The sequence below is a fragment of the Homo sapiens genome, chromosome 6, assembly GCF_000001405.40.
Source record: "Homo sapiens chromosome 6, GRCh38.p14 Primary Assembly".
Classification (NCBI taxonomy): domain Eukaryota; kingdom Metazoa; phylum Chordata; class Mammalia; order Primates; family Hominidae; genus Homo; species Homo sapiens.
This window is the reverse complement of record NC_000006.12, coordinates 42,077,461-42,090,161: the sequence shown is the minus strand read 5'-3', so window position 1 is coordinate 42,090,161 and position 12,701 is coordinate 42,077,461. Positions and strand designations below refer to the sequence as shown.

The window sequence follows — 12,701 nt, the reverse complement described above, 5'->3', positions numbered from 1 at the left end:
ACTCCTGACTTCGTGATCCGCCCGCCTCAGCCTCCCAAAGTGCTGGGATTACAGGCGTAAGCCACTGCGCCCGGCCTGCTTTTTAATTTCATAGATTGTTGTTATTTATTATTTTTGTTATAAGCTGTTTCTAATCCATTATGGAATAAAAAGATATGTAACAAAGGAACCAGATCATTATCACCCGGCTTAAGGCAGAACCATTAATTAGACCAGTGCTTCTAATATTTTTCCTCCCAGATTGCCAAAACAAACAAAAAAAGGAGCAAATAGACATGCCCTCCCACCCCCTCGAGCTTTAGGAGAGAAGCCTGAAGCTGCCACTAAAAAAGCAAAATGTCCTTGAGACTTTACTTTTCATGGGCATTCTACACTATATTTCCTAATATATTTACATGTATTCAATTATAAAACTTCTCCTCAAAATTTTCCAGTAAAAATAACCCCACCAATAATGTGTTCCATGTAAAATGCTACTGATGTGGAGTCCCAGGGCTCCCTGTCCACCCACGCCTCAGGGACCTTCACCCACGGTTGGGAGTTGGCCAGGAGGGACTGGAAACATCCTTTCCTTTGGGCAAGTGAATTGGCTGGATCTGGGTAGGGCCTCGCCGGAGTCTTGAGTTCTAGTCCCAGCTCTGGCACCTATTACAGTAGCTCAGTGACCTTGGGCAGGTCCCTCCATTGTAGTTTGGCCTGAGTTTCCTAAAAGGTTTGGGGTTTTGTTCGTTTGTTTGTTGAGACGGAGTCTCACTCTGTCTCCCAGGCTGGAATGCAGTGGTGCCATCTCAGCTCACTGCAACTTCTGCCTCCTGGGTTCAGGTGGTTCTCCTGCCTCAGCCTCCCGAGCAGACGGGATTACAGGCACCCGCCACCACCTCTGGCTAACTTTTGTATTTTTAGTAGAGATGGGGTTTCACCATGTTGGCCAGGCTGGTCTTGAACTCCTGACTTCAGGTGATCCGTGCACCTCGGCCTTCCAAAATGCTGGGATTACAGGCGTGAGCCACCGTGCCTGGCTGTGTTTGGGTTTTTAAGCTTAGTTCCCACCAGGCTGAATGTAACCATGGGCCTTACACTTCTGAACACAATCAGATGGAAGAAGAAAGAAGATGGTGTCCGGGCACGGTGGCTCACGCCTGTAATCCCAGTACTTTGGGAGGCCGAGGCGGGCAGATCACCTGAGGTCGGGAGTTCGAGACCAGCCTGACAAACATGGAGAAACCCTGTCTCTACTAAAAATACAAAATTAGCTGTTCATGGTGGCACATGCCTATAATCCCAGCTACTCGGGCAGCTGAGGCAGGAGAATCGCTTCAACCAAGGAGGCAGAGGTTGCAGTGAGCCGAGATCGTGCCACTGCACTCCAGCCTGGGCAGCAAGAGCAAAACTCCGTCTCAAAAAAAGAAAAAAAGAAAAGAAAAAGAAAGAAGATGGTGGTGAGAGTGGGACTGGGGCTGGACAGCTGGCAATTGCATTGGGTGGCTGGTGGATGCCCTGGCAGGGCATGGGCTGAGGCAAGGAGGCCTCAGGGGGTTGGTGCTCCTGGGAGGACCCAGAGCTGGGGCCTGCTCAGGCTTGGATCTCTTCTGTGCCGTAGAAAGCTCTGCAGTGAAGGGGGCTGGAGGGCCCAGGCTATTTCTGGGGCAGGGCTTTCCTGGAGGTGGGGAGGGTGCCCATCCAATCTTCCAAAAGAGGGCAGAGCTACCAACTCATCAGTGCCAACATCTGAATCACAGGCCAAGAATGCAGCCCTCCTAGGTCACCTTCTCTCCCTCCCCGCTGAGGCACCTATGAACCACAGTGCAACACTTCCCATTCCTGCATGTCACTTGCACTCTCAGGAGGGTGTGCTTGGTCCATAGCCCAGCCCCTGCCCACCCATCAGGTGACGACATCTCTGGGGAGGGAGGAAGCTTGCCTGGGAAGAATGTCAATTAATTCTTCCACAAGGATCACGCTGGTCATCTCTTCTTCTTCTTTTTTTTTTTTTTTTGAGATGGAGTCTTGCTCTGTCGCCAGATTGGAATGCAGTGGCGCGATCTTGGTTCACTGCAACTTCTGCCTCCTGAGTTCAAGCGATTCTCCTGCCTCAGCCTCCTGAGTAACTGGGACTACAGGCACAAGCCACCACGCCCAGCTAATTTTTGTATTTTTAGTAGAGACGGGGTTTCACCATGTTGGCCAGGGTGATCTCTATCTCTTGACCTTGTGATCCACCTGCCTCTGCCTCCCAAAGTGCTGGGATTACAGGCTTGAGCCACTGCGCCCAGCCCACACTTGTCATCTCTAATACCACATCTCTCCATGACACCTTTGAGGCATTACGAGCCTGCTTTATCGATGAGGAAGGTGAGACTCAGAGCAATTTGGTCACTTGCAGCTAACTGAGCTGTCAGGTAGGGACTGGCCACAGACCTGCCAGGCATCTTTCCTCCCTGTCACCGTGCTCAGAGTTTAGGGGTGGGAAAGGGGGTAAGAATTTCAGGGGAGTGAAAAAGAAAACCAGGAAAACTTAAACAAGGATACGGAACATGCATTTCATAAGCCACCCCTTGTGTAATAACGAAAGAATAGATATCTGTGTGCTTATATATTCCTGGAATGGCTTTGAAGGCGCACATAAGACCAGTGATAGTAGCTGTTTCTGGAGTGGGGAATGGGGTGACTGAAGAAATGGAATGAGAAGGAAGAAGGCATAGTTTTTAACTGTTTTATTCTTTTGTACCTTTTGAGTTTTGTGTTGTGTCCATTTATTATATGAGTTAATATAAAGTACTTAAATTAGTACATCGCACATAGTAAGTGCTATATAAATGTAAGCACTATGTAAATGAAAGCTATTATTATTTTAAAATCATGTAAAATTCTTTTGAGGAGAGACCAGGAGAAGGGAGTGGGTGAGGCACTGTGCAGGGCTTTGGGTTGGAGCTGGCTATATGGCCAGGCCCTGTGAGGAGAAGCAGGGTTCCTGGGCACCTCCAAGAGCTCAGGAGGGATGCAGGCCTCCTCCAGACAAGCTGAGGACACACTCCCTGACCAGACCCCAGAGTTCCAGAGCATTCTGTGAAGCCAGAGGAAGGCTTCAGGCGAGGCCACAAGACATGGTGCACTCAGGCTCTCGAGGGAGGGCTCTGAGAGGAGGGAGAGTATTTCAGAGGGCACGGCAGAACTCGCCCTGCACTTCTTGAGGACAGGGTCTACATCCTCTGGGTTGGCTGAATGACCTTCCCGATGGCTGCGCCTGGCCCGTCACCTGGGCGATCTGACAAGCTTGTGGGGTAGCATCTGCACCAGCAAGGGCTGGAAGGAGCACAGAGCCTGGGTTTGCTTCCGTGTGTGTCTTTCTTGACCTTTGTGGCTGCTCTCCTGGTGACCGATCTCCTTGGGGAGCACTTGGCAGCTTAGGGCAAAGTCTCACAATTCTCTAGAATGTATCTGGCCTGAGGAACGTAGGGTGAAAAAAACCGCTTTGCTCATTCTATTTGGATTGTCAGGAGAGGGTGGTGGAAGAGGGGGCAGCTTCTGGCATTGGAGAGGGGGTGCCGCAGATCAGGGGAGCTGCTTGTGATGATTTAAAAGGTTTGTTTCTCCCCAGGAGAACTCAGAGTTCCTGAAGGAGTTGCTCACCTCACACATGTGCACCCCTGGAGGACAATCCCTGAACTGAAAACACGTGGTGGCCACGGTGCTCCCGGCACAGGAGAGAAAGCCACATTCTGTTCAGAACTTCTTGGCTCTCTCCTCAGCCACACTTACCGATGAGGACACCGTATTTCAAAATCACAATATGGAAAAGCTCACCTCAATCATAATAACAGAAATTCAAGCGAAGGCTATTCCAAAAAAGCACTTTTCACTTATCAGATTGGCAAAAGTGTAAAACACATGGCGTTGGCTAGGGTGTAGGGAAATGGGCTGTTTTTCCGGAGGAAGGTGACATTGGCATGGCCTCTATGGAGAGCATTTGGCAATAGCTGCTGTCCTAGTCTGCTCAGGCTGCTCCAACAAAGTACTAGAAACTGGGTGGCTTATGAACAACAGAAATGTATTTCTCACAGTGCTGGACGCTGGGAAGCCCAAGATCAAGGCTGATTCGGCGTCTGGCTCTCAGATAGTGTCTCCTCACTGTGTCCTCACATGGTGGAAGGGGAGAGGCAGCTCTCTCTTTTCTTTTTGTGATGGAGTCTCGCTCTGTTACCAGGCTGGAGGGCCATGGTGCGATCTTGGCTCACTGCAACCTCCGCCTCCCAGGTTCGAGCAATTCTCCTGCCTCAGCCTCCCGAGTAGCTGGGATTACAGGCATCCGCCACCATGCCCGGCTAATTTTTGTATTTTTAGTAGAGAAGGGGTTTCACCATGTTGGCCAGGCTGGTCTTGAACTCCTGACCTCAAGTGATCCACCCACCTCAGCCTCCCAAAGTGCTGGGATTACAGGCGTGAGCCACCGTGCCTGGCCTCCCTGGGGGCTTTTAAACTAATTAATTGATTTTTAATTTTTATGGAGATAGGGGTCTTGCCATGTTGCTCAGGCTGATCTCAAACTCCTAAGCTCAAGTGATCCTCCTGCCTCAGCCTCCCAAAGCACTGGGATTGCAGGCATAAGCCACCGCGCCTGGCCTAGAGGCACCAATCCCATTCACAAAGGCTCTACTCTCATGACTTAATTACCTCCTCAAAGGCCCCACCTCCTAACATTATCACCTCGGGGATTTTAACATAAATGTTGAGGGGACACAAACATTCAGACCATAGCAGCTACCAACACAGGCTGGGAATTCTGCTTCTAGGAAGTTGGCCTGCAGATACCCCAACGAACGAGCATCATGTCAGCGCAGCATTGTTTGCTGGAAATAGTCTCAATTTCTCTAAATAGAAAACCGGTCATAAGTTAGGATAAGACATACAATGGAACACTCTACAGCCATGAAAACAAATGAGGAAGTTCTTTACATATCAGGAGTGACCTCCAAGAGATAGTAAGTGGGGAAAGAAGCAAGTGCAGAAGAGCTTATGCAGTATGCTACCATTCATGTATAAAAAAAGGGAAAAATGTGTCCGTATTTGCTGGATATGCACAGACTGCCTCTAGAGGATGCTTCAGAAACTGGTATCACTGGTTGCATATTTCAAGGGGACGTGGAATCTCAGAACAGCTTTTGCTCTTATGGAAGTCTCCATCTCCTTTAGTCTGGAGAGAGGCAATACGCCCCAACTCATCCAAGAAAGGAGTCCATTCTGCTGCTCTCCAGATGCGATGGGTAGCCACATGGTTAGGAGAGAGCAGGGCAGGGTCATGCCATGTAGTGGCTTGGTGACCTCCCACAATGTACTTAGCCTCTAAGTCTCTGTTTCCTCTTCTTTTAAACAGCAAAAATAATACTACTATTAATAAATGAGGCCAGGTGCAGTAGCTCATGCCTGTAATCCCAGCACTTTGGGAGGCTGAGGCAGGTGGATCACCTGAGGTCAGGAGTTCAAGACCAGCCTGGTCAACATGGTGAAACCCCATCTCTATTAAAAATACAAAAATCAGCCAGGTGCGGTGGCATGTGCCTGTAATCCCAGCTACTCGGGAGGCTGAGGCAGGAGAATCGCTTGAACCCAGGAGGCGGAGGTTGCAGTGAGCCGAGATCGCACCACTGCCCTCCAGCCTGGTGACTGAGCGAGACTCCAGCCTGGGGACAGGGTGAGATTCCGTCTCAAAAAAATAAAAATAAATAAATAAATAAGTTGATACATGTGTAAGTGGGGATAATAATTTTCCCAACCTCATTAGGATATCATGAGGATGAACAGTTAATTTATGTGAAGTGCTTAGCACCGTGCCTGGCATATAGGAGGTGCTCAGCAAATGAATTTGTTCCAAATACACCGTGTTTTCTCCTCTGCACTTCTGACCCCTATGGGATCAAAATGGAAACTCGTCTACCAGGCTAACGAGGCCCTTAGGGTCCATCTTTTTTTTTTTTTTTTTTTTTGAGACAGAGTCTCGCTCTGTCGCCCAGGCTGGAGTGCAGTGGCACAATCTCGGCTCAGTGCAAGCTCCGCCTCCCGGGTTCAGGCCATTCTCCTGCCTCAGCCTCCCGAGTAGCTGGGACTACAGGCACCCGCCACCATGCCCGGCTAATTTTTTGTATTTTTAGTAGAGACGGGGTTTCACTGTGTTAGCCAGGATGGTCTCAATCTCCTGACCTCGTGATCCGCCCGCCTCTGCCTCCCAAAGTGCTGGGATTACAGGCGTGAGCCACCGTGCCCAGCAGGTCCATCTTTAACCTTCACTGCCACACTCAGCCCTTGCCACTCCCTTGTATCCTATGTCCTCTGTTCACTCTGCCTAGAATGTCCTTCCTTCCTTTGCTTGTCTTGGTAAAAGTCCAGCTTAAATGTCACCAGCCCTGGGACACTCTTCCTGAAGTCCCAGCCCAGAAAGAGATTGTGTTCCCTCCTCTGTGATGGCAGAGTCCCCGGGTGCCCCTCTGTGGGGCATCATCACACAGAACGGTGACTATGTTCCTGGTTCCAGCTGATACACACACACTTGTTTGTTAAAATAGAAGGAATCCAGGGGGAAAAAAAATTCAACTCCAACTCAAATAAAACCGCAATAAGACACAGTGTTCTATCTATCAGAGTAGCAAAGTTTAAGGAGTTCTACACTGAGGTGGCAAGGAGGCAGGCACTCGTGCAGGATAGCCAACTGGTACACATTCTGAGGGCTGGGCAACATCTGTCCAGATTCAATGGACACCCATAACAAAACGCCACAGGCAGAAAGCTGCTTGTTGCATCAATGCTTGAAAGAACAGAGGGCTGGAAACCACCTAAATGCCCATCAGCTGGGGGCTGGGAAATAAGTTATGGTAGAACTATACAACAACCATGCAGCCACGAAACAGAGAAGCTCTTTATTACTGACATGGAACATCACCAAAAAATACACTGAGAAGTAGAAAATATAAGTATTTGCATTTGATGCACAGAATACTTCTGGAAGAATACATAAGGTCATATTGACAGTAACATAATAGCAGCTGCCAGGGATGAGGTCTGAGCCTCTGGGAAACAGGGGAGGAGGAAGATATTTTGTTATCACTTATATCTTTTTCTGTCTTTTAAATTTTATACTGTATACATATATTATCTCTTCAAAATTAAATAACTGTTTAACAAAGGAGAAAAAGAAAAGCTAGTAATCAAATGGAGATGAGGTAGGCCACACGCTCCAAGAGGAGGAAAAATACCTTGAATTTTTTTCCAGGAGCGCCAGGGTCCATGGTAAAGCTCTACCCTGGGCCAGCTGCCCCCGCACTTGCACCTGGGCACAGGAAGTTGATGTTCGCAGAATTAAGAACTTTTTTTGTCTCAATGCGTGAATGGTTAAAGAAACTGTGTTAAACTATGGTGCCTCCATGCTACTCAGCAATAAAAAGAAAGGAACTACTGATACACACAACCACCTAGATGGACCTCAAGAGAATTATGCAGAACTGAAAAAGCCAACGTCAAAAAGTCCCATACTCGGCCAGGTGCGGTGGGTCATACCTATAATCCTAGCACTTTGGGAGGCTGAGGTGGGCGGATCACTTGAGGTCAGGAGTTGGAGACCAACCTGGCCAACATGGTGAAACCCCATCTCTACTAAAAATACAAAAGTTAGCTGGGTGTGGTGGCACATGCCTGTAATCCCAGCTACTTGGGAGGCTGAGGCAGGAGAATCTCTTGAACCCGGGAGGTGGAGGAGTTGCAGTGAGCTGGGATCGCTCCACTGCACTCCATCCAGCCTAGGCGATAGAGCAAGACTCTGTCTCAAAAAGAAAAAAGTCACATACTTTATGATTCAATTTATAACATTCTTTCAATAACATTAGAGATAGAGAACAGAGTAGTGGCTGCCAGGAGAGAAGTGGAAGAGCAGAGAGGTGGATGTGATTGCAAAGAGACAGCATGAGGGAGAACTGTACTGATGCAATGGTTCTGTGTCTTCACCATTTGTGTGCTGGTGGTTACACAAATCTACACGATGAAACTGCACGGAACAACACACACATAACACACACGTGCACATGGTGAAAACTAAATAAGCTCTATGCATTGTACTAATATACCATCTACATTGTACACTGAAACTGAATGCAAGGGTTTTGATATTGCACCACAGTTATGCAAGATGCTACCACTGGGAGAAAGTGGGTGATGGGTACATAGGATCTCTCTCAACATTTTTTGCAACATCTTGTGAATCTATAATTATTCCAAAATTAAAATTTAAAGAAAGATCAATCAGAGATACGTATAGACACATTTAGATTAAATGACACAGGTCTGGAGTTTGCATTTAAAAATACTCCAGAAGAGCCAGGCGCGGGGGCTCACGCCTGTAACCTCAGCACTTTAGGAGGCTGAGGCAGGTGATCACCTGAGGTCAGGAGTTGGAGACCAGTCTGGCCAACATGGTGAAACCCCATCTCTACTAAACCTACAAAAAAATTAGGCCAGGTGCGGTGGCTCATGCCTGTAATCCCAGCACTTTGGGAGGCCGAGGCGGGCGGATCATGAGGTCAGGAGATCGAGACCATCCTGGCTAATGCAGTGAAACTCCATCTCTACTGAAAAATACAAAAAATTAGCTGGGCGTGGTAGCAGGCACCTGTAGTCCCAGCTACTTGGGAGGCTGAGGCAGGAGAATGGCGTGAACCTGGGTGGCGGAGCTTGCGGTGAGCTGAGATTGCACCACTGCAATCTTGACAATCCACTGCAATCCAGCCTGGGCGACAGAGCGAGACTCCGTCTCCAAAAAAAAAAGAAAAAATTAGCCAGGCGTGGTGGTGGTGGTAGATACCTATAATCCCAGCTACTCAGGAAGCTGAGGCAGTAGAATCATTTGAACCCGGGAGGCAGAAGTTGCAGTGGGCCAAGATTGCACCATTGCACTCCAGCGCGAAACTCTGTCTCACACGCACACACACGCACACACACACACACACACACTCCAGGAGGAAAGAAAATAAAGGACAAAAAGTGGGAGAAACAGATGAAACAGAATCAACAAGCTACTGACAAGTGTGGAAGCTTGATGAGGCATATACAGGGGTTCATATATTTTGCTCTCTAATTTTGTATTTGAAAATTTCCAAAATAAAAGTTTTACTAAGTTCCCAGGTGTGCTTAGGCCAACACAAGGGCTAAGCCTGACTTATTTGTCCACATTGCTGTTAACTTTTGAACACAAATTAAGTTCAAAGCTTACAGTTCTATTTATTTACAAAGTTTTTATTATGAATTTTTATTGAGATTTTCATAAACATTTTTAATCTGCATGTTTACTACTTTTGGCCTCTAAGAAGTCCCATAAAGTTATAAAAAATAGAAATTTATAAATACACATTGAGAATTTTGCATTTTTATACAGGGTCAATGTTTCAAGTTGTCTAACCCTTTCCCTGTCTCCCCTCAGAACAAAATTATAAGAGTATAGCCTCTGAGGCCAGGCGCGGTGGCTCATGCCTGTAATCCCACCCACACTGGGAGGCCGAGGTGGGTGGATCATCTGAGGTCAGGTGTTCGAGACCACCCTGGCCAACCTGGTGAAACCCCGTCTCTACCAAAAATACAAAAAAAATTAGCCGAGAATTGTGGTAGGTGCCTGTAATCCCAGCTACTCAGGAGGCTGAGGCAGGAGAATCCCTTGAACCCAGGAGGTGGAGGTTGCAGTGAGCCGAGATCACGCCATTGCACTCCAGCCTGGGCGATAAGAGTGAGATGCCGTCTCAAAAAAAAAAAAAAAAGAAAAGAAAAAAAAAGAGTATAGCCTCTGAAATCTCAACAGCAGAAATAGCAGCCCTTTTCCAAATCCCACCTCTAACTCAGCACATCTGCATTCAACAGGTGCTTACACTGGATAACAACAACAAATGGAAGCTGCAGAAACACTGACTGGGACAACACCTCCCAAGAGCAGTGAGAACAGCTGGGATTGGCCACGGCTTGAATGTGGGGCTGTGTTCATAAACTTATCAGGCCAAGAATCGCTAAGAACTGAATCACAAACCCTGAGAAGGCCACATAGGCCAGTCTAACTGCTTCGATCTAGGAGAGTTTCACGTTACTACAAACCTGAAAAACTCCTATTTAGTCCAGTTGGGGAATCCAATTTTTTTTTTTTTACTAGCGTCCCCTCTTCCGTTCCTGACAAGCAGCTCTTTCCTTACACAGTACAGTGAGGCCAGAAGAACATGGAGCCTGCTGTCAAGTCCCCAAGTTTTTCAAGTTTCCAAATTCACCAAGGGAATGGAAGACTAAGAGATGGGCTGGGCACCGTGGCTCACGCCTGTAATCTCAACACTTTGGAAGGCCAAGGCGGGTGGATCACTTGAGGCCAGGAGTTCAAGACCAGCCTGGGCAACATAGCAAAATCCCGTGTCTACTAAAAAAAAAAAAAAAAAATTAGCCAGATGTGGTGGCGGGCATCTGTAATCCCAGCTACTCTGAGAATTGCTTGAACCCGGGGAGTGGAGGTTGCAGTGAGCCGAGGTAGTGCCACTATACTCCAGCTGGGGCGACACAGCGAGACCCTGTCTCAAAATAAAAGGAGTTGAACTGTGGAAGCCAAAGGGGAATACATGAAGCTAAATATGGACGTTAGGATTCTAATTTGGGAAACAAGCTTATTCATCCAGTGTTCACTTCCACGTGTTGTTACATTTTTCTTCCTTGGATTTAGTTTTAAAAACTCTTCCTTAGGAGACCAGAAAAGCTATCAGCATGCCCAGCATCTTCCTTAAAAACTTGTTTTCTGGTTTGTAGGGTATGTTAAGAATGAAGTTGTTCTCCCCACAGGATACAAATTGGTTGGACAGACTCAGACCTGCTTCTTGCAGAACGCCTCAGCTTGGCTCACTCCTGCCCATCCACCAGCCTTCCAGCTGACCAGCCGTTTCTCAGCTTTCAGAATACAAGATGAGGCCCAGCCCTCAACACCCCACCCTCACCCCACCAAATCCTTTCCTATTGTTTACTTTATCCTTTTTTTATTTTTTTGAAATGGAGTCTCGCTCTGTCACCCAGGCTGGAGTGCAGTGGCACGATCTCGGCTCACTGCAACCTCCGCCTCCCAGGTTCAAGTGATTCTCCTGCCTCAGCCTCCCGAGTAGCTGGGATTACAGGCATGAGTAACCACACCCGGCTAATTTTTGTATTTTTAGTAGAGACGGGGTTTCACTATGTTGGCCAGGCTGGTCTCGAACTCCTGACCTCAAGTGATCCACCTGCCTTCGCCTCCCGAAGTGCTGGGATTACAGGCGTGAGCCACTGCGCGTAGCCCCTCTTTCCTACTGTTTAAACCCCATGGCTCCTCTGTCAAGTCCCAGCATAATAGAGCCGACGCTCTAGGCTCTTGTCAGAGAAAACCTCTTCTTCCAGAAGGGGTAAGACTTGGCAGTTCCCAAGCACACATTCCTCACAGGGGCAATAAATGGTAAATCTCTCAGGAGGAGAGTGCTGCCCCGCTTCAGGGAGCTTTCGTCAAATGCCGACGGGAGGACAGGTGCAGCCCCGACATGTCGTTCTTCTTCACAGTGATGCATCTGCTCAAGACTCCTGACTCCTGCCCACCCCAAACAAAGCTGTGCTGTGTGGCCTCCTGTTTCCGACACGTTGAGGGAGTACAAAGAACTTTTCATCAGCTCAACGGAGCACTTGGGAGGCCAGATGAGGAGAGAAATAAGAATGAAGTTCTGGGATGAGAAAGTGGTGCCACAAATTGTGAGTCAATAAAAGGGATCCAGATATCCTGAAATACACGCTGGACAAACAGTCTTCCTTGTAATAAGCACAGCAGCAAAGAGCCCTTTCCTTCCTGTCACTTTCCCTGGTCTCTTGAGTTTCAAAGGAATCAAATCCTGTGATAATGAACGAAGTCACTGGCTGCTGCTATGCCCCACCACATAGCCTGATTGATTAAGAAAGTCTCTGGTGGGGTGCGGTGGCTCACGCCTGTAATCTCAGCACTTTGGGAGGCCGAGGCGGGTTATCACTTGAGGTCAGGAGTTCAAGACCAGCCTGGCCAACATGGCGAAACCTTATCTCTATTAAAAATACAAAAATTAGCTGGGCGTGGTGGCTCACACCTGTAATCGCAACTCTTTGGGAGGCCAATGCGGGTGGATCACTTGAGGTCAGGAGTTCAAGACCAGCCTGGCCAACATGGCGAAACCCTATCTCTACTCAAAATACAAAAATTAGCCAGCATGGTGGCGCTTGCCTCTAGTCCCAGCTACTCGGGAGGCCAAGGCAGGAGAATCACTTGGACCCAGGGTTGCTGAGACTGCAGTGAGCTGAGATCACACCACTGCATTCCAGCCTGGGTGATAGAGTAAGACTCCATCTCAAAATAAAAAAAAAAATTCTCATTATTCTGTTCATATCTTCCTCAACCCAAACATCCAGTGAAAATAGGTCATCTTAATAAGACGGTTTGCCATGAAAATCATGTCCGATCACACCCTGCAGCCTCGGCTTGGCCATGAGGAGGTCACCCTCTTCTTCCCTTGAGTGGCTTTAACTCCCCGGGAGGGTGGAATCTGCGCCCCTGTACAAGCCAGGTTTCCTTCTCAGCTCAGGAGAGGGACCTAGAAAGAAGAGGAACCATGGAGCCTCCTGGTGTGGGCCCTGTCTGCTCTCCTTCTAGGGGAAAACTGCTC

General features: G+C 48.1%; 1 protein-coding gene across 9 annotated transcripts in view, besides 1 other annotated feature; it reads right to left on the bottom strand.

The window, feature by feature from the left end:
• Positions 1 to 2,699: 2,699 nt before the first annotated feature.
• TAF8 (TATA-box binding protein associated factor 8) overlaps positions 2,700 to 12,701 on the bottom strand; it is a 36,939-nt gene continuing 26,937 nt past the window's right edge. For 4 of the 9 annotated variants that reach the window (XM_047418177.1, NM_001438580.1, NM_001410907.1 and 1 more), the window contains one exon: positions 2,700 to 3,443. Coding sequence is in view for 6 of the 9 variants with exons in the window: in NM_001410907.1 (NP_001397836.1) it covers positions 3,428 to 3,443 (16 nt within the window). In the remaining 3 variants the exon portion in view is untranslated. Of the gene's footprint in view, positions 3,444 to 6,889; positions 12,630 to 12,701 lie in introns of those variants that run through there. The other 5 variants (NM_138572.3, NM_001438057.1, NM_001410906.1 and 2 more) reach the window with 3 other exon arrangements.
• Positions 3,777 to 4,071: a silencer, noted in NCBI's record as "tiled region #7068; K562 Repressive non-DNase unmatched - State 25:Art". NCBI's record gives its function as "represses a minimal TATA promoter and a strong SV40 promoter by Sharpr-MPRA in K562 cells {active_cell/tissue: K562}" and the evidence as "EXISTENCE:reporter gene assay evidence [ECO:0000049][PMID:27701403]".